Genomic DNA, 26817 nt, shown 5'->3' with positions numbered 1-26817 from the left:
TGCATTGCAATAAGGAAAATAAATGCTATGTGTATAAAATAATCCATTTTTAGAAATTAAGCCATTTGTAAATTGACATGATACTGTTCAAATGTTCCCTTAAGTGTATCTGTCTACCTGAAAAGATCATTGAACTGACAGTTTTATTTGAGTGCATTGCTTCTGTCTACCCCAAAGAAGAGAGAACTAGTTTCTTATGTTTAGTAATCATATTAGGATATCTTAGAAAAATATATTTACAGATAATCTTTTTTTGGTCATGTTTCTTCTAAATAAAATTAATTTTGATGACTGGCTCTTTAGATTTATTTTTTCTCTTATTTCTCAGGAGACTGTGGGGATTTAAGATGCTTAATAACATGCAAAAAACATATAGCTGGGAATGGGAGCAATAAATCCCAAAAGTGAATCAGGAGAGATGATGAGGGGCTTCCACAACAATTAGCTGAAAAATCTAGAGTTACTGAGGGCAAACATCAATTAAGTTTTGATGAGACTTACGATTTTCATTTTCTGATGATTCTTAGCTTTCTCTGTGAGTCGCCGTCATTCTAAAGCTTACTCTTTATATGGGCTCAAGATAGCTCCAATAGGTACCATACGCACACTTCATATGATCTAAAAAAAAAGATTTATTCTGTAAAATATTGGAGATCATTTTGACTGAATCGTCTTATGGCACATATTCAACAATGTGCTAAAGGAACTGAGACTGCACTGGTAAGTTAAGAACAAGTTGTGTATTCCCATGGAGTATCTATCTTGGAGGCTGGGATCAATCCTATGCAGAGTAGCTTTTTGCAATGAACAGATTCAGTGTGTGGCCTTGGAATAAGATATTTTGGGTAGAATAAGTCTAAAGCAATGAGCAGGCTTTTATTTAATAATTGGTAAAACATAGGTTGAGAGTAGCAAATAAATTACCCACATTCAAATTTTAGGAAGCTGCATAGTTGGGAATCAAAGACAATTATTTTCCAACTCCAAAGTTTGTGTTTCCTTTTCTTTTTCTTCTTCTTTTTTTTTTTTTCCAGACAGAGTCTCGCTTGTCACCCAGGCTGGAGTGCAGTGGTGTGATCTCGGCTCACTGCAACCTCCATCTCCTAGGTTCTCCCTCCCTAGCCTCCTGAGTAGCTGGGATTACAGGCGTGTGCCACCACACCTGGCTAATTTTGTGTGTGTGTGTGTGTTTTTAGTACAGACAGGGTTTTGCCATGTTGGCCAGGCTGGTCTCCAACTCCTGACTTCAGATGATCCGCCCAACTCGGCCTCCCAAAGGGCTGGGATTACAGGCATGAGCCACCACACCCGGCATGTGTTCCCTTTTCATATGCAGCATTGCTTCCTACAAAGTTCACTAACTTTTTCTGGGACTACTCTGGCTGTTCAAGGAAAAATGGAGTGCAAGTGTCCTCCATGTGGGTGAGTCGATCATTTCCCCCAACTTGTGATCATTCATCTGAAGAAGGTGTTTGAGATTATTCTTAGTTAGTTAAAATTACCAACTACTTAAAATTCTATGCTCACAAAAGCATGTTACTAGATGCCATGGAAGACACAAAATTTTTTTTATTATACTTTAAGTTCTAGGGTACATGTGCACAACATTCAGGTTTCTTACATAGGTATACATGTGCTATGTTGGCTTGCTGCACCCATCAACTCGTCATTTACATTAGGTATTTTTCCTAATGCTATCCCTCCCCCAGCCCCCGACCCCCTGACAGGCCCTGGTGTGTGATGTTCCTTGCCCTGTGTCCATGTGTTCTTGGTGTTCAATTTCCACCTATGAGTGAGAATATGTGGTGTTTGGTTTTCTGTCCTTGTGATAGTTTGCTGAGAATGATGGTTTCCAGCTTCATTCATGTCCCTGCAAAGGACATGAACTCATCCTTTTTTATGGCTGCATAGTATTCCATGGTGTATATGTGCCACATTTTCTTAATCCAGTCTATCAGTGATGGACATTTGGTTTGTTTCCAAGTCTTTGCTATTGGGAAGATACAAAAATGTTATATGGCCTTCCAGAGACTTAAATATAAGGACACATACACTGAAACAAAATTAAAAACAGCATACAATAGTAATACAAAACTGAAAACTGTTACTTTATATGTGATTATGTGTCTGGAATTGGTTCCTTCCAGTGAGTTCTTGGTCTCGCTGACTTCAAGAATGAAGCTGCAGACCCTTGCAGTGAGTGTTACAGTTCTTAAAGATGGAGTGTCTGGAGTTTGTCCTTCAGATGTTCTTATGTGTCCGGAGTTTATTCCTTCCGGTTGGTTTGTGGTCTTGGTTGACTTCAGGAGTGAAGCCGCAGACCTTCCCAGTGAGTGTTACAGCTCTTAAAGGTGGCGCATCCACAGTTGTTTGTTCCTCCTGGTGGGTTCGTGGTCTCACTGACTTCAGGAGTGAAGCTGCAGACCTTTGCAGTGAGTGTGACAGCTCATAAAGGTAGTGCGGACCCAAAGAGTGAGCAGCTGCAAGATTTATCATGAAAAGCAAAAGAACAAAGCTTCCACAGCATGGAAAGGGACCCGAGTGGGTTGCGCTGTTGGCTGGGATGGCCAGCTTTTATTCCCTTATTTGGCCCCACCCATGTCCTGCTGATTGGTCCATTTTACAGAGCACTGATTGAACCATTTTACAGAGTGCTGATTGGTGCATTTACAAACATTTAGCTAGACAGAAAAGTTCTCCAAGTTCCCACTTGACCCAGGAAGTCCAGCTGGCTTCACCTCTCAATCCCCCCTCTAAACAGGACACCCCAAGTGCTGTTAGTAACTGGGTGATTACCACTCTAGCTACTTCCACTGGATGGGGTGAAGAAGGGGCCCTGCAGTTGTAGTGTCCTCCAGAGGGGAACTCTTTAGGCCAGTGAAAGGGCCAGCGGGTCAGTCCAGGGGACCATGGTAGAAGTTGTTAGTTGAGCGCATTTGGTGTTCTACTTGTAAGACCATCTGTAGCTTGACGGCCTCGATTCTAGAGGGAACAAATTTAACAAGGAGGTTAAAAATACAGTGCCTGAAGGTGAGTAATAGCAAGATGGCTGCCACGGGACCTAGAAAGGGGAGAAGCCATGTTGCCCAACTCCAGAGTTTGGTGTAAGAGTTTGTTCTTTTCATTTTCCCATACTCCTAGAGTACTTGCCAAGGTAGCTCCAGTGAGTGGCTGGAAAGGAGTGTTGGAAGCAAACTGAGTGGCTCCCCGTGTTCTATTTTCCCACTGGAGAAAAAATCATTTTGTATCTACTAGGAACCATTCGAGAGAGTGATTGAAATAGGGATGAGAAGGCATTCACTAGTGGTGGGGGTTCATGCAGGGAATACAGGGGTCAATGGTCATGCAGGGAGTATGTTTGCCATTACAAAACTTGGACTGTTTGTTAAGCAGGGAGGAGGTGATGATTTTGAGGGGCCCTGAGAAGCCGTCTGAATGGAGCTACTTGTGTGACTCGGAAGTTACTATGATCAGTTGGGGCTTGAAGTTGTAGGGTATAATTATACTGATGTGGTAGTAGGTGCCCCAGAAGCAGGCCTGATAACAGGCTGCGATGAATGCATAAAGGGGCTGGGAAAGTTAAGATGATATTCGTAGTTACAGGACCGTGTATGGGCTTTTCATTGCTTGTGTAATAGGTGAGGTTGGAAATGTAAGAACGTGAAAGTTGGATTGCACGTCCTCGTCCTGTTAGGGTATTCTTGGTCCTATCAGAGATGGGGAAGTCGGCTAATGATTGCATATTTAGAAGTCAGAAAGGGGCTTTTCCTTCATAATGAGGGTGGTAGGTTAAGTCGGTAAAGACCCAATTTTTTGCGGGAATGGGAGTGGCAACGTAAGCCGAGGTTGATAGAGAGATACAAAGCCAACAGTTATTTGCCAGGGAAGGATTGGACTGGTTTAACAGAGAGTGGGTTAAGTTGAGAGTCTTGTAGAGGTAATTAGGAGCTAGTGGAAGGGGATAGGTGATTGTATGACGTATCCAAGGAAGCAGGAGGGATAGATAGGCAAAGAGTAAATAGGAAGGTAAAGAGGTGCTCTGGAACACGAGATCATTTTATCCAGGCTGAGTTAAAGGTAGGAGTAAATTGCTGTCAGAAGGAAGGAAGACAGAAAGAAGGCTGATGTGATTAGGATGTTCGACCCAGCAGGAGCTACAGTTTATAGCCCTATCACAAAGAGTATGGTTAGTATGCTGCTTAATAATATGATGAAATAGTAAAATGATTCCATTAAAGGGGTAAGGAGAGGTGTTAAAGATTATGTGGTTTTCACTTATCTTTTTTAAGGAGGAAGGGGTTTTTCTTCAGGATCAGTGGTAGGAGCCTTTTTAATCTGGGATGTTTCCTTCCCACATAGGAGATGCAAGTCTTCCAACTGTTCGCAGGTGTATCGAGGCTGGTCTGGCTGATCTTGGGACTCCTGAGCTGATGGTCCCACAGGTTCCTCAGGGGGTGTCCAAAATTTAACTCTGGTGTGGTGAATCCAAGATTCCACTCCTGCCACCTTAACTGCAGTGGGGGTAGAGAGGATTACTGAGTATGGTCCTTCCCACAGAGTCGATAGATGGGGAGATAGAGGGGAGAGATTTGACCAACACTAGATCTCCTGGTTGAAACAACTCTGTTCCCTTTTCTCTGTCACATCCTTCAGGTAGGTTTTTAAGGTTTTGTTGATATTTTGCCAAAAAAGTTATACCTTTGACCAAGTTGGCCGTTTCCTGATCAAGTGGGAGGTCATTTGTGAGAAAAGGTCATCCATACAGCATTTCATATGGACTGAGCCCCATTTTGTGAGGAGAATTTCGGATTCTCAATAAGGCCATGGGCAAAAGAGTAGGCCATGGGAGATGAGTTTCTTGTGTTTGTTTCCTTAAGTGCCTCTTGAGTGTTTCATTTGCCTTCCAGATCTTCCCTGAGAAATGTGGCCTCCAGGCTCAGTGAGGTGATGTTGTATCCCTAGCACCCTGGAAATTCCGTGAGTTATCATGGCTTTAAAAGCCAGATCATTGTCACTCTGTAAGCTTTGCGGAAGCCCAAATCTAGGAATTATTTCATGAATTAGGGTCACATTTAATCACTTCTGAGCATTCTCAGTCTTGCAGGGGAAAGCTTCGATCCAATTTGTAAAGGTATCAACACAGACCAACAAGTATTGAAATCCCTTTGACTTAGGCATATGGGTGAAGTCTAACTGCCTGTCCTCTCCAGGATAGTGACCTATTCTTTGTTCCCCCAAAGGGGCTTATGAAGGACCAAGAGATTATTCCTTTGGCACACCTCACAGGCTTTGATTACCTGTCGGATGATCCAGAGGAAATGTGGCCCTGTAAGTAAGGATTTGGCCATTTGATGAGTGTTTTCAATACCCATATGAAAAGTATAATGGAGGGTTTTAAGTATTTTCCACTGGCTGGCCTCAGGTATAAGTACCTTTCCTTCTTCTGTCATTAACCACCCCGAGGGGAGAAAACTATGCCCCTGTGAAATTCCCCATTCTGTTTCAGTCGGGGAATACTGGGGCTTAATCTCTTGGAAGGGGTTGTTCCATACCAAGGGTCCTTCCGTAGGTATTTCTAATGGGAAGTTCCTCCTGGCAGCAATTTTGGCCTCAGCATCTGCCCGACAGTTTCCTTCTGCCTTTTCTCCTTCACCTTTCTGATGGCTTTGGCAGTATAAGACTGCCACCTCCTTGGGTTTTTGCACTGCATGCAATAACTCCATAATTTCCTTGTGGTATTTAATGGGGTTCCCCAGAGGTTAGGAACTCCCTTTCTTTCCATATTGCAGCATGGGCATGTAGGATTAAATAAGCATACTTGCTATCTGTATACACATTTATTCTTTTTCCCTTTCCCAGTTCTAAGGCTCGGGTAAGTGCCACTAGTTCTGCTAACTGGGCGCTGGTCCCTGGGGGAAGAGGCTTACTTTCAAGTACTGTTACTGTGGCATAACTTGCCCTTTGCATCCCATTCTCCACAAATGAACTTTCATCAGTGTATAGGTTAAGGTCAGGATTAACTAAGGGCACTTCTAAGAGATCCTCTAAGGTGGCGTAAGTCTGGACTATAATTTGTTGGCAGTCAGGCTCGATTGGTTCCCCATCCTCTGGGAGAAAAGCGGCAGGGTTGAGGGTCGCACACGTGTGTATTTGAAGCACCAGTCCCTGAAATAGAAGTGCCTGGTATCTAAGTAGGTGGTTGTCTGATAGCCATAAACTATGCACCTATAGTCCCAGATACTCGGGAGGCTGAGGCAGGAGAATCGCTTGAACCTGGGAGATGGAGGTTGCAGTGAGTGGAGATTGCGCCATTGCACTCCAGCCTTCATCTCAAAAAAAAAAAAAAAAAAAAGTTACATAACATTAAAAAGAAAGAAAGAATCATGACTTTGAAGACAGAACAATAGGTATCACCAAATCTGAATAAGAGAGAAAACAGACTGAACAAGAATGACTCAAGGACTCTGATAAAGATCTAACATTCAAGTTACTGACATTCAAAAGGAGAGGAGAAAGAGGTCAGGGCTGAAAAAAGTGCTAAAAGAAAGAGTTGCTGAAATTTTCTTAAGTTGGATAAAAGACAAACCTATAGATTCAAAAAGGTGAGCAAATCCCAAGCAAGGTAAACCAGGAGAAATCAATGCCAAGATACATCTTAATGAAAATTCTAAAAACTGAAGTAATATATTGATAGTAACAAAAAGAAATGGAACTTTGATTAGGCTGAAAAGGATGCAACAAATCACGGGTTTTTTTGTTTGTTTTGTTTTTGTTTTTGTTTTTGTTTTTGTTTTTTTGAGACGCAGTCTTTCTCTGTAGCCCAGGCTGGAGTGCAGTGGCATGATCTTGGCTCACTGCAACCTCTGCCTCCTGGGTTCAAGCAATTCTCCTGCCTCAGCCTCCTGAGTAGCTGGGATTACAGGTGTGCACCACTGCACCCGGCTAAGTTTTTTGTATTTTTAGTAGAGACGGCGTTTCACCATGTTGGCCAGGCTGGTCTTGAACTCTTGACCTCAGGTAATCAGCCTGCCTCGGCCTCCCAAAGTGCTAGGATTACAGGCATGAGACTCCACGCCCGGCCCAAATCACAGTATTTTTAATGAAAGTTTAACTGTTTTGAACAATATTTAGAACAATATGCAAGTTAAGATAACATGCTTCACACTTGAAGGAATTGGAATTCAAATTATTTTCCACTGCAATTTCCCTTTTATGAGAATAATAGTTGCATAGGACTTCAAAAATGTAAGTACTCCCAATAACAACATAGAAACAAACAGACATAATAAAATATAATAATATAGTTTACCCCAAAATATTGAGAATATTTAAAATGTAATCAATACAAAAATGAATGGTTTACATTCTTTTCTCATTCTGTTATAAAAACGGTATATTTTACACTTGTAGCATCTCTTACTTCAGACTAGCCACATTCAAATGTTCAATAGCCACATGTATCCTGTGGCTACTATATTAGGCAGTGTAAGTATACAGTGATGGCACAGGAAACAATGGCATGAAAAGCAATGATGTAGTTTGTGGCTCATATTAAAGCTGTTATAAGACTTTCTAGTATCAAAATATGCCTCTCTGACAAGTACTGCCAATGAAAATATGCCAGTATTATTTTTTAAATATTGAATAATGCCATATAGTCATTTTTACTGGGACAAAATATTTAAATTGTAGACAACAGATAATGCACAACAATGTGGTTAGTGAATTCTAGGATTTTCATTTTTGTGCTTATGTTTATTCGCTGGATTGACATTGCTTTTGCAAATATTTCATAAATTATATCTCTAATTTATGATCATTGTATAATCCTGATATATTAGAGATTTTTTAAAGCATTCTGAAATCAATTTGAAAATGCAAGGTTACTGTTTCCTCTTTAAAAATGTAGATATAAGATAGTAGTGCATTAAAATTTTAATTCAGCTGTGACTGGAAAAACTTTACTGTAATCTTTAGAGATTTTGAGTTTCTGTCAAAAAATAGCTAAAATTATTTTAAAAACATATTTGAACATCTAAGATATTATGAAACATATAGGTATTTTGTATTCAATGTTTAAGAAATTGTGAATTAAATACAATCACTGGTTCCCTGTAAATTTAACACACATTAAGATAATGTTTTGTAATTCATCTAAAAAATAAAAATATCCTAGTGTTCATTTTAGAAACTTCAGATCAGTTTATTAGAAGAGTATTGACCAAATACCATACCTAAAAATCTCTAATTATTTATAAGCACTTATTTGTATAAAGATTACCTCCCTATTTTGTGACAGCAACAAAAAGAAATGTAGCAATGAATTAGATAATGAGACAGACAATATTGCTCTTTCATCTGAAATCACCATAGCAAATTTCATGCTAGTCTAACTGCTTCATAGTGCTTTACTGTCCTCTTAGTAAATAAATATCAAATTTGAACTTTATTCAATAAAATTAGACTCACTTTTATCCAGTTGATACATTGAGTACATTTATATGTTTTTATCTGCAAACAGGGTTTCATTAATGGATACAATTTAAAAACAAGGAATTAGATGATAATCATGTAATGGCTGATCCTCAATTTAATTCAGTAGGCATCAGTTAACTAACATCCTGGCATCATGGAAACAGACAAGAATAAAAGGAAAAAGAAAAGGAAAAAAGGGAACACGTTATTAAGAATGAATTTGTGTTTCTATAAAATGATTTTTAAGGATTTGATATGACCTATACCTAAATTTAAAGACTTTGACTATTACTACGCTCACGCTAAAAAAAGTGTGCTTTAAAATAAAATAAAAGCTCATGCTAATGCAGAGGGCGGGCATGTAAAATCCTAGCAGCAAGGAATTTGGCTATATCAACCCTCATTAACTGAAAATTTGGTGACAGCTTTCTCACTAGCATAAAGGAATATCTCCAGAAGAAAATTCATAAGGTAATCTGGGACAGATAAAAGAGTGGGAAAATAGTATATCTAAAACAGGCCATCAAAATACGACTATTTCAAATGTATAGCAATTCTATGCTTCATCCTTTCCTGTTCGACTAAGATTTCTGATATCTCACAAAAGATTACAGCATGGCAATCTAACAAAGCTAACCTGCATACTTCTGCTACACTAATGGGTACTTTTTCATTGTGTGATTCTTTAAAAATTCTGTCAAAGTATCTTTGCAAAAAGGGTACAAAAAAGGCAGACATAGTTCCTCATTTATGTTTTGTCACTTAGTTACTTTTGATGTGCAAATGTTAAAATACTCTGTGTTATATCATTTCTAAAGCTGTACTTGAATATTCAGAAATAAATAAATAAATGAAGCCATGAGAGTTTCATAAAGCATTAAGAGCAAGCAGAATGTGGGTCACTAATCAAGGTGTGACTGACCCAACCAAATACCTTCGACTGACCCAACCAAATACATTTATCATTTCACCACTAGCAAGTTATTTCCTTTGATAAAGCATTGCCCTGTTTTCATAGCGCTGTTTTAAAATGTAAGATCGCTTGAGAGGGAATCATACAATGTCTATAACACTAAGTTTATTATTATATTATTAGGGCAGCTGAGCCCAGCAAGCATGAAAGGCCTCTGAAATTAGAAGGAGGAGCTGAAGATTGAGCAGGAAAAGTATCAAGGGTAGTGATTAGGAGTCAGAAAACATATATTGCCTTCATCATATTTTTCTGAGTGCTGACCTGAATGTCTCAAAAAAAAAACATAAATAAAAATACTACCAATTTTTAAACATTTGCATTTACATGGGGATGAGAATAGTGTGGGGGATATGACAACAAATATTCAAACAGCAGTTCCCAGTCTGCACTGCATGAAGTGCCTAAATATCCAAAATAGAAGATTTGTAGTCTGATTGGCTTGAAGAACCAGTACACATGGTTTGGATAACAACAGCCACTGAGAGGAAATCGTAGAGAAGAAAGAGACAGAGAGCCTCTGGAATTCTCCCTGACTTTCTTGTGGTCCATCATTATCATTGCATTTTTACTGAGAAATTGCATATTTACATTGCAAGCTCATCAGATTATGTACAATGGTGTGGATAGTAAACTACAGGATTTTCATTTTCATGCCAAAGTTTGTGAGCCAGACTGGTGTTAGCTGTTGGCACAAATATTTTCATTAATTCCTATTTAAGTTCTAAGTATATAATGGCTCCTTTGGAACATGTGGAATTTTCTCTGAGGTGCACAGGAAATAATTTAATTATGTCTGAATTTTAAGTTTACACAGGGACTAATAGGAGACAATAAGGAGTCCAAATAATTCTTCTTATTAGGAAAATATCTATTTACTACCAAGTAAGTCTTGCCACTATTCTAAAAAGATGAGGCGATAGGTAAAACAGTAAAGAATTATAAACAGAACTTTTGGACTGTATCTATAAAATGTAAAAGGAAAGACATTTCATGGTGTATTTCATTTTTTATGTTCTATGCAATTAATTGTCACAGTTATTTACATCACTATGCAACTGATTTGGTTTTAGCCCCTGTTAGCTTCAGAATGAGAAAACTGTGTATGCAAAGGTGGTAATTTTGAAAATGCAACAACGTATTTATATCAACTAGGGATTATCTCCATGGTTTAAAGACAGAATTATTTTGTCGTTTTTGCAAATATGCTAATTGTGCCTTGTCATTGCAGATTTCAGAGAAGAAACTGTTACCTAGTTAGTTTTTTAATACATACTGAAACAAGAATTTAGACTCAAGTTCCTTATACTTAAATAGTTGCAAACCAAGAAACAGAATGATAGAATAAGAGTCTTCCTTTTGAGCTTCAGGTTTTTGAAAAAAAAAATTTCTAAAATAAAATTTATCTTTTTAAATAACTACCTTAATGCGTTTATTTCAATGTTATGAAAGCGATTTAATCATCAGGATAAGCAATATTCAAACATTTCCTATTTGGTAGTCCCTTAGAAGAAGCCAGGAAAATATTTGTAAGGTACCTTATTTTTTATACCAGCAACTGAAATAAGATTTGAAAAGTACCTGAAGATAAGAGCTCCTAAACTACATCCAAAACATTACTGGAGAATCTGTAAATAAAAGGGACTCATTCCCTCTAGGCTGCTTGTGTTACCGGCAGTGAGTCTGTACCGGTCTGTAGCAACCTCAATTCTTGCCTCCTCAAAAGAAAGAATTCGACTGAGGGGCGTTAAGGCAGAAGGAGAGATAGGGGCAAGTTTTAGAGCAGGAGTGAAAGTTCATTTAAAAAGCTTTACAGCATGAATGAAAGAAAGGAAACTACACCTGGAAGAGGGCCAAGTGGGCGACTTGAAGGACAAGTACTAGTTTTGACCTTTTAACCTGAGGTTTTATACTTTGGCGTACTTCCGGGGTCTTTTCCCCTTGCGATCCGCTGTCCGCATGCGCAGCACCTGCTAGTACTTGGAAGATGGGCATGCGCAGTGTGCTTACTGGCGTTGTAGGCATGCTCACTTGAGGCGCTCTTCCCTTACCAGCCAAATGTCACATACCAGTTAAGGGGTCATTTTGCCTTTTAGTGCGCATCTGTAAGCCCACTTGCCAGACTCCTGAGATCTTATTGGGAAGCTGCTGGTCACCCGCTTTAGGTTTTTTTCGTGGACTTGGACTTGCACCTTTCCCTGGAGCAAGCTGTGACCAATTATTATTCTAGAGAGACAGTTAACAACTGCCTGACGATCACCTGATGGTCACCTGACATATCTGGTTTGGATGAGATGACCTCTCCTACCCTGTTTATGTCTGACTGGCTACCTACTGTAACATTCGAATGTTGCCTTCTCATAAATAAATGTTAATATAATACCTTAACATACATCGCTTTCACTATTTCAGTCCTAGTTGCTAAATAACTTTATAATAAATAATTGACACCATTTTCTTTAACTGGCAGATCTCCTGAAATAAATTTTTTTTTCTAAAAAACCAGCATGAAAAGGAAGTGTGCTGAAAGCTCTTAATGAAAAATGAGTCCCAAAGAGCAGATTTTTTTTTCCCAGCCTAAAGGATTGCTTTTTAGCGAAATTATCATTGTTTTTAGTTTCAGTTATTTTCTCTAATATGTATTTGTGTATAGACACAAACCCACACAATAATACAAAAACACTTTCTCTAAAGACAACAGCTAAGATACAAAAAAAGTATTTTTCAAATTAGGTTAGCGATCCAAATATTCTTTTGAACATATCACATATTTTTTTCTTGATAAACATGCTGTTTCAGAACACAAAAAAAGCTCCAAAGTGTGAAGTTAACACTAAATTTCCTTCCTCATAGAAGAATGGCCATATTTTTCCACAGAGCCTCTTTTACCCTGTGAAGAAAATTATTTTATATTTCTTCACTAGAGTCAATGTTTTTTCTTTTTTTTTTTTTTTTTTGAATTTTTTTTTTTTTTATTATACTCTAAGTTTTAGGGTACATGTGCACATTGTGCAGGTTAGTTACATATGTATACATGTGCCATGCTGGTGCGCTGCACCCACTAATGTGTCATCTAGCATTAGGTATATCTCCCAATGCTATCCCTCCCCCCTCCCCCGACCCCACCACAGTCCCCAGAGTGTGATATTCCCCTTCCTGTGTCCATGTGATCTCATTGTTCAATTCCCACCTATGAGTGAGAATATGCGGTGTTTGGTTTTTTGTTCTTGCGATAGTTTACTGAGAATGATGGTTTCCAATTTCATCCATGTCCCTACAAAGGATATGAACTCATCATTTTTTATGGCTGCATAGTATTCCATGGTGTATATGTGCCACATTTTCTTAATCCAGTCTATCATTGTTGGACATTTGGGTTGGTTCCAAGTCTTTGCTATTGTGAATAGTGCCGCGATAAATATATGTGTGCATGTGTCTTTATAGCAGCATGATTTATAGTCCTTTGGGTATATACCCAGTAATGGGATGGCTGGGTCAAATGGTATTTCTAGTTCTAGATCCCTGAGGAATCGCCACACTGACTTCCACAATGGTTGAACTAGTTTACAGTCCCACCAACAGTGTAAAAGTGTTCCTATTTCTTCACATCCTCTCCAGCACCTGTTGTTTCCTGACTTTTTAATGATTGCCATTCTAACTGGTGTAAGATGATATCTCATAGTGGTTTTGATTTGCATTTCTCTGATGGCCAGTGATGATGAGCATTTCTTCATGTGTTTTTTGGCTGCATAAATGTCTTCTTTTGAGAAGTGTCTGTTCATGTCCTTCGCCCACTTTTTGATGGGGTTGTTTGTTTTTTTCTTGTAAATTTGTTTGAGTTCATTGTAGATTCTGGATATTAGCCCTTTGTCAGATGAGTAGGTTGCGAAAATTTTCTCCCATGTTGTAGGTTGCCTGTTCACTCTGATGGTAGTTTCTTTTGCTGTGCAGAAGCTCTTTAGTTTAATTAGATCCCATTTGTCAATTTTGGCTTTTGTTGCCATTGCTTTTGGTGTTTTGGACATGAAGTCCTTGCCCATGCCTATGTCCTGAATGGTAAGGCCTAGGTTTTCTTCTAGGGTTTTTATGGTTTTAGGTCTAACGTTTAAATCTTTAATCCATCTTGAATTGATTTTTGTATAAGGTGTAAGGAAGGGATCCAGTTTCAGCTTTCTACATATGGCTAGCCAGTTTTCCCAGCACCATTTATTAAATAGGGAATCCTTTCCACATTGCTTGTTTTTCTCAGGTTTGTCAAAGATCGGATAGTTGTAGATATGCGGCGTTATTTCTGAGGGCTCTGTTCTGTTCCATTGATCTATATCTCTGTTTTGGTACCAGTACCATGCTGTTTTGGTTACTGTAGCCTTGTAGTATAGTTTGAAGTCAGGTAGTGTGATGCCTCCAGCTTTGTTCTTTTGGCTTAGGATTGACTTGGCAATGCGGGCTCTTTTTTGGTTCCATATGAACTTTAAAGTAGTTTTTTCCAATTCTGTGAAGAAAGTCATTGGTAGCTTGATGGGGATGGCATTGAATCTGTAAATTACCTTGGGCAGTATGGCCATTTTCACGATATTGATTCTTCCTACCCATGAGCATGGAATGTTCTTCCATTTGTTTGTGTCCTCTTTTATTTCCTTGAGCAGTGGTTTGTAGTTCTCCTTGAAGAGGTCCTTCACATCCCTTGTAAGTTGGATTCCTAGGTATTTTATTCTCTTTGAAGCAATTGTGAATGGGAGTTCACTCATGATTTGGCTCTCTGTTTGTCTGTTGTTGGTGTATAAGAATGCTTGTGATTTTTGTACATTGATTTTGTATCCTGAGACTTTGCTGAAGTTGCTTATCAGCTTAAGGAGATTTTGGGCTGAGACGATGGGGTTTTCTAGATAAACAATCATGTCGTCTGCAAACAGGGACAATTTGACTTCCTCTTTTCCTAATTGAATACCCTTTATTTCTTTCTCCTGCCTGATTGCCCTGGCCAGAACTTCCAACACTATGTTGAATAGGAGCGGTGAGAGAGGGCATCCCTGTCTTGTGCCAGTTTTCAAAGGGAATGCTTCCAGTTTTTGCCCATTCAGTATGATATTGGCTGTGGGTTTGTCATAGATAGCTCTTATTATTTTGAAATACGTCCCATCAATACCTAATTTATTGAGAGTTTTTAGCATGAAGTGTTGTTGAATTTTGTCAAAGGCTTTTTCTGCATCTATTGAGATAATCATTTGGTTTTTGTCTTTGGCTCTGTTTATATGCTGGATTACATTTATTGATTTGCGTATATTGAACCAGCCTTGCATCCCAGGGATGAAGCCCACTGATCATGGTGGATAAGCTTTTTGATGTGCTGCTGGATTCGGTTTGCCAGTATTTTATTGAGGATTTTTGCATCAATGTTCATCAAGGATATTGGTCTAAAATTCTCTTTTTTGGTTGTGTCTCTGCCCGGCTTTGGTATCAGAATGATGCTGGCCTCATAAAATGAGTTAGGGAGGATTCCCTCTTTTTCTATTGATTGGAATAGTTTCAGAAAGAATGGTACCAGTTCCTCCTTGTACCTCTGGTAGAATTCGGCTGTGAATCCATCTGGTCCTGGACTCTTTTTGGTTGGTAAACTATTGATTATTGCCACAATTTCAGAGCCTGTTATTGGTCTATTCAGAGATTCAACTTCTTCCTGGTTTAGTCTTGGGAGAGTGTATGTGTCGAGGAATGTATCCATTTCTTCTAGATTTTCTAGTTTATTTGCGTAGAGGTGTTTGTAGTATTCTCTGATGGTAGTTTGTATTTCTGTGGGATTGGTGGTGATATCCCCTTTATCATTTTTTATTGTGTCTATTTGATTCTTCTCTCTTTTTTTCTTTATTAATCTTGCTAGCGGTCTATCAATTTTGTTGATCCTTTCAAAAAACCAGCTACTGGATTCGTTGATTTTTTGAAGGGTTTTTTGTGTCTCTATTTCCTTCGGTTCTGCTCTGATTGTAGTTATTTCTTGCCTTCTGCTAGCTTTTGAATGTGTTTGCTCTTGCTTTTCTAGTTCTTTTAATTGTGATGTTAGGGTGTCAATTTTGGATCTTTCCCGCTTTCTCTTGTAGGCATTTAGTGCTATAAATTTCCCTCTACACACTGCTTTGAATGCGTCCCAGAGATTCTGGTATGTGGTGTCTTTGTTCTCGTTGGTTTCAAAGAACATCTTTATTTCTGCCTTCATTTCGTTATGTACCCAGTAGTCATTCAGGAGCAGGTTGTTCAGTTTCCATGTAGTTGAGTGGCTTTGAGTGAGATTCTTAATCCTGAGTTCTAGTTTGATTGCACTGTGGTCTGAGAGATAGTTTGTTATAATTTCTGTTCTTTTACATTTGCTGAGGAGAGCTTTACTTCCAACTATGTGGTCAATTTTGGAATAGGTGTGGTGTGGTGCTGAAAAAAATGTATATTCTGTTGATTTGGGGTGAAGAGTTCTGCAGATGTCTATTAGGCCTGCTTGGTGCAGAGCTGAGTTCAATTCCTGGGTATCCTTGTTGACTTTCTGTCTCGTTGATCTGTCTAATGTTGACAGTGGGGTGTTAAAGTCTCCCATTATTAATGTGTGGGAGTCTAAGTCTCTTTGTAGGTCACTGAGGACTTGCTTTATGAATCTGGGTGCTCCTGTATTGGGTGCATAAATATTTAGGATAGTTAGCTCCTCTTGTTGAATTGATCCCTTTACCATTATGTAATGGCCTTCTTTGTCTCTTTTGATCTTTGTTGGTTTAAAGTCTGTTTTATCCGAGACTAGGATTGCAACCCCTGCCTTTTTTTGTTTTCCATTGGCTTGGTAGATCTTCCTCCATCCTTTTATTTTGAACCTATGTGTGTCTCTGCACTTGAGATGGGTTTCCTGAATACAGCACACTGATGGGTCTTGACTCTTTATCCAACTTGCCAGTCTGTGTCTTTTAATTGCAGAATTTAGTCCATTTATACTTAAAGTTAATATTGTTATGTGTGAATTTGATCCTGTCATTATGATGTTAGCTGGTGATTTTGCTCATTAGTTGATGCAGTTTCTTCCTAGTCTCGATGGTCTTTACATTTTGGCATGATTTTGCAGCGGCTGGTACCGGTTGTTCCTTTCCATGTTTAGCGCTTCCTTCAGGAGCTCTTTTAGGGCAGGCCTGGTGGTGACAAAATCTCTCAGCATTTGCTTGTCTATAAAGTATTTTATTTCTCCTTCACTTATGAAGCTTAGTTTGGCTGGATATGAAATTCTGGGTTGAATATTCTTTTCTTTAAGAATGTTGAATATTGGCCCCCACTCTCTTCTGGCTTGTAGGGTTTCTGCCGAGAGATCCGCTGTTAGTCTGATGGGCTTTCCTTTGAGGGTAACTTGACCTTTCTCTCTGGCTGCCCTTAACATTTTTTCCTTCATTTCAACTTTGGTGAATCTGACAATTATGTGTCTTGGAGTTGCTCTTCTCGAGGAGTATCTTTGTGGCGTTCTCTGTATTTCCTGAATCTGAACGTTGGCCTGCCTTGCTAGATTGGGGAAGTTCTCCTGGATAATATCCTGCAGAGTGTTTTCCAACTTGGTTCCATTCTCCACATCACTTTCAGGTACACCAATCAGACGTAGATTTGGTCTTTTCACATAGTCCCATATTTCTTGGAGGCTTTGCTCATTTCTTTTTATTCTTTTTTCTCTAAACTTCCCTTCTCACTTCATTTCATTCATTTCATCTTCCATTGCTGATACCCTTTCTTCCAGTTGATCGCATCGGCTCCTGAGGCTTCTGCATTCTTCACGTAGTTCTCGAGCCTTGGTTTTCAGCTCCATCAGCTCCTTTAAGCACTTCTCTGTATTGGTTATTCTAGTTATACATTCTTCTAAATTTTTTTCAAAGTTTTCAACTTCTTTGCCTTTGGTTTGAATGTCCTCCCGTAGCTCAGAGTAATTTGATCGTCTGAAGCCTTCTTCTCTCAGCTCGTCAAAATCATTCTCCATCCAGCTTTGTTCTGTTGCTGGTGAGGAACTGCGTTCCTTTGGAGGAGGAGAGGCGCTCTACGTTTTAGAGTTTCCAGTTTTTCTGTTCTGTTTTTTCCCCATCTTTGTGGTTTTATCTACTTTTGGTCTTTGATGATGGTGATGTACAGATGGGTTTTCGGTGTAGATGTCCTTTCTGTTTGTTAGTTTTCCTTCTAACAGACAGGACCCTCAGCTGCAGGTCTGTTGGAATACCCTGCCGTGTGAGGTGTCAGTGTGCCCCTGCTGGGGGGTGCCTCCCAGTTAGGCTGCTCAGGGGTCAGGGGTCAGGGACCCACTTGAGGAGGCAGTCTGCCCGTTCTCAGATCTCCAGCTACGTGCTGGGAGAACCACTGCTCTCTTCAAAGCTGTCAGACAGGGACACTTAAGTCTGCAGAGGTTACTGCTGTCTTTTTGTTTGTCTGTGCCCTGCCCCCAGAGGTGGAGCCTACAGAGGCAGGCAGGCCTCCTTGAACTGTGGTGGGCTCCACCCAGTTTGAGCTTCCCGGCTGCTTTGTTTACCTAAGCAAGCCTGGGCAATGGCGGGCGCCCCTCCCCCAGCCTCGTTGCCACCTTGCAGTTTGATCTCAGACTGCTGTGCTAGCAATCAGCGAGATTCCGTGGGCGTAGGACCCTCTGAGCCAGGTGTGGGATATAGTCTCGTGGTGCGCCGTTTCTTAAGCCGGTCTGAAAAGCGCAATATTCGGGTGGGAGTGACCCGATTTTCCAGGTGCGTCCGTCACCCCTTTCTTTGACTCGGAAAGGGAACTCCCTGACCCCTTGCGCTTCCCAGGTGAGGCAATGCCTCGCCCTGCTTCGGCTCACGCACGGTGCGCACACACACTGGCCTGCGCCCACTGTCTGGCACTCCCTAGTGAGATGAACCCGGTACCTCAGATGGAAATGCAGAAATCACCCGTCTTCTGCGTCGCTCACGCTGGGAGCTGTAGACCGGAGCTGTTCCTATTCGGCCATCTTGGCTCCTCCTCCAATGTTTTTTCTAAATTCTACACTGACTATAAGAACATGAAAAAAAATGTAATTGCTTTTTTCTTCTTTTTCTCATTATTCTTCATGTACACTCTATCATGTTTGTTCTATATATTTATATTTTCCTTAATAGATATCAATCATTTTATAATAGAAATGCTTAATAAATAAAAATATAGCATCATGAATATTGTTAGACCAATATTATTCATAATATCCAAACATTTTCCAGGATAAAAAAATAAATTTATCATAACAAGTTTTAAACAGAATATTCTGCTTTGACAGATTTTGTTAATCTGTTAATAACCGTTTGATTTTGTAACACTTACTTTGGTTTTCAATTAGCAATGAAGCAACAGAAAACCATCTGGGCTCTGCTAAGGTTTTGATGATATGACACATTGTTATTAGGAAAAGTAATATTAGTTTTCTTTATTTAATCTCATCATGAATTTGCTCTCATTTTATTTAACAATATATTCACAACTATTATTTTCTAAATGCTTTAGTTGTTCTCACTGTTTATGTTCAATCAACTAGGAAATATAGATGTGTATATATATATGTCTTATGTTATATAAACTTGCATAATGAAAGGATGCTCTATTGTAAAGATCACATGTAATAAAATAAAATTCACTGAATATATTTTCTTAGCATTTTATTTTCACCTATTTTATCTTCATTTAAATCTGACATCCTTTATACCAACATTTCTCACATAAATTATCCAAATATTTATTTTTAGAATAGTAAAGTGATTTAATTTTTATTGAAATAATAAAATTTTCAAGAAATGTCATGCTAAAATGTGAATTACCTGGGGTATATCCTGCAATAATCAGACCGATTTTAATTTAAATACTCCATATCCTCCCTCTCATCTCTACTTCCTTGCCATATACGTAATAAGGAATCAATATATGCTTTTTTCAAAAATTGTAATTCAGGGAAGATAAAATAACTATTTCTTATTGGGCACTTTTGGATCCACATAAGTAAAACATTGTAACAAATCTAAAAGAAAATTTGACAATTTATCATGTTTTATTTATTTTCAATAAGACATTCAATGTCTGCCCAGCTTCTCTAATTAAAAGAAACTTATATCTACTGTAACAGCATCTTTTTTCAGTAAAGTAAATAGCCAAAACAGTTCAATGTTAAATGAACTCAATTTATGTGAATGTATTTTAGTAAATTTGGGTTTTTTTCTTAAGTAAATTTAGAAAGCTTCTTCGTGAAATTAATGAGACATGTAAATAGGCATAAAGAGAAAATGATCCCAAGCAATACTCACATATACAGTCAGAAGACTTGCTTGGGAAATTCTGTCCCAGAAGATAAGTTTATTCTTTAATGAAACAAAGTCTGCAATTTTTTGATAACTTATCTCTTATAAGTTGAAAAAAATTGAATTTATTCAAATGTAAAAAAGGTGAATACTGTAACACTTTGTTACACAAGATTACATTCTCATTCTTCTAAATTCATTAAATCCTAAAATTTTGTCATTTTTATTTCAGTATTAAATTTGCCTAGCATAAAATTTGTATATATCCGTATATGCTGTGTAAATATTACAAGTAAAAAATATAAAAGTATCTACTATCTAAATTCAAGATAAACTGATATTAAAATTATTATCAACTATATCAACATGTGCACTTTATTAGTCTGAGATTAGCCATTTACAATGATAGGTTTAGGAATCCAAATATTATGTCAACTTCCTGTAAAGCAAGCTGTGGAATTTTATTCTCCATTATTATTTTTTCATTCTATCTCTTCCTTCCTCCTTTTCTCACCAAAAGCAAAAAAGAAAAATAAATAAAGTAAAATAAATGTACTGGGAATGGAATCTGGAAACTTGTTATTGCAATCCTGTAGGTTTAGCTGAGCAAGATTTTAGTATGTACTAGCTACATGGCTTGGGCAAGTTACTTAATTTAAGTGACTGCTGGTTGTTGTTTTGTTTTAATTTTGCTTAAAAAATGGATTAACTGCTACTGCTTTATTTTCAGTTTTAAGATCATTAAAAACAGTGAGAAACCATTGTGAGTCATACTTGGCATTCAGTCTGTATTTTTTACAGATAATATTATTAATAAAACATTTTCATATGCTCTAATTTTTTATTTATAGTCATTTATAACAATTATAAGAATTATAAATCAAATGTTCTAGCTCACAAAAACAACTTGATGTGTCAGATAACACCCATTTCATGATGGACAGCTCAGGCTGCATGGTAACTTGATGATCCACGATTAAACATTCAGTATCTACTATGGCTCAGTACCATAATTGCAATTAGAGCTGCCAAGAGCTTAGTCTCAAAAGAATAGTTGTCTGTGGAGAATGGCACAACTTCAACCATCATTGGATCTCCTGGAACGTGTAGCCCAAGTGGCATAGCAGCTTGTACAGTAGACTGGACCTATTGCATAGCCTTCTCTTGTTCTGAGATCCACTCAAAAAATAGCCATTTTTTGAGTCACATGGTAAATGGGTCTGTGTCACACAATGAAATGACAAATATGTTGCCTCCAAAAGCATCATGTCTCTATTTGGTCCTAGGAACAGCCAGATGCAACAGCTATCCTTCACCTTATGTATTAGTCCCTTTTCACACTGCTATAAAGAATACCTGAGACTGTGTAATTTATAAGAAAAGAGGTTTAATTGACTCACAGTTTCGCATAGCTGGGAAGGCCTTAGTAAACTTACAATCATGGTGGAAGGCAAAGGGGAAGCAAGGAACGTCTTAGCTGGTGACAGGAGGTTAGGTCTGCCAAACACTTTTAAACCTTCAGATTTCCTGATAACTCACTCACTTTCATGGGAATAGCATGGGGAAACCACCCCCATGATCAAATCACCTCCCACCAGGTCCCTCCCTTGACACATGGGGATTACAATTCTAGATGAAATTCAGTGGGGACACAGCCAAACTATATCATTCTACCCACAGCCCCTCCCAAATCTCATGTCCTTTTCACCTTTCAAAACTGATAATGCCTTCCCAGCACTCCCTCAAAGTCTTAACTCATTCCAGAATTAACTCAGAAGTGCAAGTCCAAAGTCTCATCTGACACAAGGCAAGTCCCTTCAACCTATGAGCCTTTAAAATAAACAGACACACACACACACACACACACACACACACACACACATTAGTTACTTTCAAGATACAATGGGGGTACAGGCATTGGGTAAATGTTTCCATTCTAAATGGGAGAAATTGGCCAAAACAAAGGGGCTACAGGCCTTATACAAGTCTGAAACCCAGCAGGGTAGTCATTAAATATTACAGCTCCAAAATAATCTGATATGACTTCATGTCTCACATCCAGGCCACACTGATACAAGGGGTGGGCTCCCAAGGCCTTAGGCAGCTCCACTCCTGTGGCTCTGCTGGATACAGCTCCTGCAGCTGCTTTTACAGGCTAACATTAAGTTCCTGTGGCTTTTCCAGGTGCATGGTGCAAGCTGTTGGTGGATCTACCATCTGGGATCTGGAGTATGCAGGCCCTCTTCTCACAGATGCACTAGGGAGTGCCCCAGTGGAGACTCTGTGTGGGGGCTCCAACCCCAAATTTCCCCTCTGCACTGACCTAGTAGAGTTTCTCTATGAGGGCTCTGCCCCTGCAACACACTTCTGCCTAGACATCCAGGCATTTTCATACATCTTCTGAAATCTAAGCAGAGGTTCCCAAACCTCAACTCTTGGCTTCTGCACATCCGCAGGCCCAACACCATGTGGAAGCCACCGAGGCTTGGGGCTTACACCTTCTAAAGCCACAGCCTAGCTATACCTTGTCCCCTTTTAGCCATAGCTGGAGCTGGGGTGGCTGGAATGCAGGGTGTCATGTCCCAAGGCTGCACAGAGAAACAGAGCCCTGGCCCTGGCCCATGAAACCATTTTTCCCTCCTAGGCCTCTAGGCCTCTGGCCCTGTTATGGGAGGGGTTGCCTTGAAGATCTCTGAAATATCCTGGAGACATTTTCCCTGTTGTCCTGGTAATTAACCTTTGGCTCCTTGTTACTTAAGCAAATTTCTGCAGCTGGCTTGAATTTCTTCCCAGAAATGGGATTTTTTTTTTCCTTCCTACCACATGGTCAGGCTGCAAATTTTCCAAACTTTTATTCTTTGCTTTCCTTTTTAAATATAAATTCCAACTTCAGATAATCTCTTTGTAAATGCATATGACTGAGCAATTTCAAAATCAGCCAGGTCACATCTTGAATGCCTTGCTGCTAGAAATTTCTTCTGGTAGATACCCTAAATCATCTCTCTCAACTTCGAAGTTCCACAGATCTCTAGGGTAGGGGCAAAGTGCCACCAATCTCTTTACTAAAGCACAGCAAGAGTGGTCTTTGCTCCAGTTCCGAATAACTTCCTCCTCTCCAGCTGAGACCACCTCACCCAGGATTTCATTGTCCATATCACTATCAGTATTTCAGTCACAACCATTCAACAAGTTTCTAGGAAGTTTCAAAATTTCCTTCATCTTCTTATCTTCTTCTGAGCCCTCCAATCTGTTTCAACCTGTGCTGGTTACCCAATTTCAAAGTCACTTCCATATTTTTAGGCATCTTTATAGCAGTGCCCCACTCCTGGCACCAATTTTCTGTATTAATCCATTTTCACACTGCTAAAATAATACCTGAGACTTGGTAATTTATAAGAAAAGAGGTTTAATTGACTCACAGTTCTGCATGGCCAGGAAAGCCTCAAGAAACTTACAATCATGGTGGAAGGTGAAGGGGAAACAAGGCAAGTCCTACATGACAGCAGGAGGTGGGGGGATCTGCCAAACACTTTTAAACCATCAGATATCATGAGATCTCACTCGCTGTCATGAATACAGCATGGGAGAAACCACCCCCATGAGCCAATCACCTCCCACCAGGTCCCTCCCTTGACATGTAAGGATTACAACTCTAGATGAGATTTGGGTGGGGGCACAGAGCCAAGCCATATCACCTTAGAAGGAGTATCTTTATATGCCCCATGCCATTAGACCTCTAGGTATTTCACTGAACTAGAAGGCTCCTGAGTTTTTGTAGTATTTATATTTCTTATACACCAGTCTGGTTATTTTAAAAGTGTGTAGTCCTTCCCCCTTAGCTTTCTCTCCCACTCAGCTGTGTGAAGCAGGGATTTGCTTCTCCTTCGCCCTTCCACCATGACTGTAAGTTTCCCAACCAGGCTGCATGTACAGTCTGCAGAACTGTGAGTCAATTAAAACTCTTTTCTTCAAAAATTACCGAATCTCAGGTAGTTCTTTATAGCAATGTGAGAATTGACTAATACAAGTTAAGATAAAACAAAGATATTTCTAATTTTATAATATAGAGAATTGAGAATAAATGCCTTCCACCACAGATACTTCTAGTACTTTATTAATCCCAAACATTAATTTGCCACATATATCTGAGTGCCTATTTTGAGCTAGGTGCTGTTCCAGATTTTGAAAATATAAACTAAATCCTTCCTTCTTGACACATACAATCTCATTCGTGAGACAGTTAAAGAAAAATAAGTAAATAAGTTAAAAATGAATAAATGAATATAAATGAATACATACATACACACATTATACATAAATTATATAATATGTTAGAACATAATTAGTAAAATAAATCAGAGACCAAAATATAGTGTGCATGAGTTAGAATTATGATTTTATATGAGAGGAAATCTCATTAAGAAATATTTGTATCAATACTTAAAATAGTAAAGAGGGAGCTCCAGGGGTAAGTAAAGAAAAAGCATTTCAAGCACAGGGAAAAACAAGTGAAAAGGTTCCAACACAGCGAGAGGTTAAGCCAGCTGGACTTCCTCGGTCGAGAGGGGACTTGGAGAACTTTTCTGGGTCTAGCTAAAGGATTGTAAATGCAGCAATTAGCACTCTGTAAAAACGCACCAATCAGCACTCTGTGTCTAGCTAAAGGATTGTAAACTCACCAATCAGCACTCTGTAAAATGGACCAATCAGCGCTCTGTAAAATGGACCAATCAGCAGGACGTGGGCAGAGACAAATAAGGGAATAAAAGCTGGCTACCCCAGCCAGCAGTGGCAACCCGCTCCGGTCCCCTTCCAAGCTGTGGAAGCTTTGTTCTTTCACTCTTCACAATAAATCTTGCTGCTGCTCACTGTTTGGGTCCGTGCCACCTTTAAGAGCTGTAACACTCACCGCGAAGGTCTGTGGCTTCATTCTTTAAGTCAGCGAGACCAAGAACCCACCAGAAGGAACCACCTCTGGACACAACAGGACCATGTTCTGTCTTTTTAGGGATAGTAAAGAGGTCAAAATGGTCAGAAAAGATGAAGGCAAAGTAATAAAAGGAAAGGATGAAAATCATGTAGCTGTATGTAGATTTAAGGATTTTGGCTTTAAAATGATTCTATGGGAAGTCATTGAAGGCTTATGGGTAGAGAGGCTGACACACATGATCTGAGTTTAGTTAGAAATAGAAATAGAGACGAAAAAGAAAAGAAGGCAAGGGAGAGGAAGGAAAAGGAAGAAGGGAAAAGAGAGAGTGAAGGAGAGAAGAAGAAAAAGGACAGAAAAAAGCAGGGGATGGGGAGATGAAAGGGAGACCAGCAAAGTCTATTGCAGTAATTACAGCAAAAAGTGATTTTGACTTGTGGCAGAATGGCTGAAATGGAAGAAATTAAGTATTGGCTGGTCTCTGAAAATAAAGCCCTCAGAAATTCCTGAGAGGTATGAGAAAAGAGAAATAGATAACCTCAAAATTTTTGGCCTAAATAGTTACCATTTTCTGAGATGAAGTCTCATTGAGAAAAAAAATTAGAGAAAGATCAGTTTGGATTCACAGCTGTTAAGTGTAAGATGCTTATTATACATCCAAGTAGAAGATAAGTAGATAGGCATATGAGTTTGGAAAACATAGAACAGTTCCAGGCTAGAGAAGGCATTTGGGAGTCATTCTCAGGTGAGAAGAAACTAAATTACTTTGCCCAGAGAATGCACGAAGATAGTGAATAGAAGAGCTCCAACCAATGAATATTTTATGTGAAAATACAGATGTTGTGTAAATGTCAAAAATGTTTGAAAAAAGACAAATTCTTGAAAAACACAGATTTTCAGATGGACATAAGAAGAAGCAGAATATATGAGTAAAAAACTTAAAAGGAAATACGAAAATGTCCACAGTACTATTACTCATGAACTTCATACTGAAACAATCCATAGGCTAATCCACATTTGGTACATTCATATAATACAATATTTGAAAGCAATGAAAATTAGCAAAATCATACAAGAAAACAACAGCTTATGTGCACATCACAGACATATTCAGCAGGAGAGGCCCAACTTGTACTAAACAGTTCTAGTTTTATAAAGTTCTCATGCAGATAAAAGTAAATTACAATATAGATTAATAGAATATTTGTTTCACCTGTGTGCTGATAATAACAAGGTATGCTGGTGTATTAGTCTGTTTAAACACTGCTATAAATAACTTCTTGAGGCTGGGTAATTTATAAAGAAAAGCAGTTTAATTGACTCACAGTTCTGCATAGCTGGGGAAGCCTCAAAAAACTTACAATCATGGCGGAAGGTGAAGGAGAAACAAATACCTCTATACACGGTGGCAGGGAGTGGGAGACGTGTCACACTTTTAAACTGTTCAGATGTCCTGAAAGCCCACTCACTGTCATGATAAAAGCATGGAGGAAACCAATCCCGTGATTCAATCACCTCCCACCAGGTCCCTCCCTTGACTCCTGGGGATTACAATTCAAGACGAAATTTGGGTAGGGACACAAAGCCTAATCATATCAGTTGGCAATGTTTTCTCCTTCGATCTGGGTTTGATTACTCAAGTGGTTTTATTTAGTAATCATTTATTAGACTTTACAGTTATTTGTAATATTATGCACTTCTCATGTTAGACTTCTAAAACTTATTTTAATTATGAAAAAATCAAAACAATCAAATAAGAAGTAAAACCAACTAGAAATATATTAAAAGTAGTATTATGTGGAGACTAGCCTTATGAATTATTAAAATATCATATGAATCTAGCATAATTAAATAGGATTTCTAGTGGCATCATACTGGTATGTTAAGAAAAAGACAGAACATAGGTACCTAATGGGAGATGTAAGAGGATTAGTAGACATGATGGGAAAGTGAAATACACAATATGGCTGCAGAAAATGCCTTTATAAGAAAAATACAAACCCAGAAAGAATTGACATGATAAACCTCATTACATATACTTTGAAAATGTCTGAATAAACCAAATCAAAACACAATAGACAGATAGGATATATATTTGCAAATTATGATAGACAGATATATAATTTTTATGGTTCACTAAGACAAATATTAACAAC

General features: G+C 38.7%; 1 long non-coding RNA gene across 4 annotated transcripts in view, besides 2 other annotated features; it reads right to left on the bottom strand.

The window, feature by feature from the left end:
• LOC101927483 (uncharacterized) overlaps positions 1-11397 on the bottom strand; it is a 34094-nt gene extending 22697 nt beyond the window's left edge. For 2 of the 4 annotated variants that reach the window (XR_943829.2, XR_007064148.1), the window contains exons 1-2: positions 11288-11397; positions 502-618 (exon numbers count right to left, since the gene is read on the bottom strand). This is a non-coding gene — a long non-coding RNA (uncharacterized LOC101927483). Of the gene's footprint in view, positions 1-501; positions 857-2796; positions 3512-11287 lie in introns of those variants that run through there. The other 2 variants (XR_007064149.1, XR_429360.3) reach the window with 2 other exon arrangements.
• Positions 17559-18104: an enhancer, noted in NCBI's record as "OCT4-NANOG-H3K27ac-H3K4me1 hESC enhancer chr14:48656619-48657164 (GRCh37/hg19 assembly coordinates)". NCBI's record gives its function as "activates a minimal SCP1, AML or CMV promoter by ChIP-STARR-seq in primed H9 embryonic stem cells {active_cell/tissue: H9 hESC(primed)}" and the evidence as "EXISTENCE:reporter gene assay evidence [ECO:0000049][PMID:30033119]".
• Positions 18105-18650: an enhancer, noted in NCBI's record as "OCT4-NANOG-H3K27ac-H3K4me1 hESC enhancer chr14:48656073-48656618 (GRCh37/hg19 assembly coordinates)". NCBI's record gives its function as "activates a minimal SCP1, AML or CMV promoter by ChIP-STARR-seq in primed H9 embryonic stem cells {active_cell/tissue: H9 hESC(primed)}" and the evidence as "EXISTENCE:reporter gene assay evidence [ECO:0000049][PMID:30033119]".

This window comes from Homo sapiens, chromosome 14 (assembly GCF_000001405.40).
Source record: "Homo sapiens chromosome 14, GRCh38.p14 Primary Assembly".
In the NCBI taxonomy this organism is placed as follows: domain Eukaryota; kingdom Metazoa; phylum Chordata; class Mammalia; order Primates; family Hominidae; genus Homo; species Homo sapiens.
The sequence above is the reverse complement of the archived record's forward strand: the minus strand, read 5'-3'. Positions and strand labels throughout refer to the sequence as shown.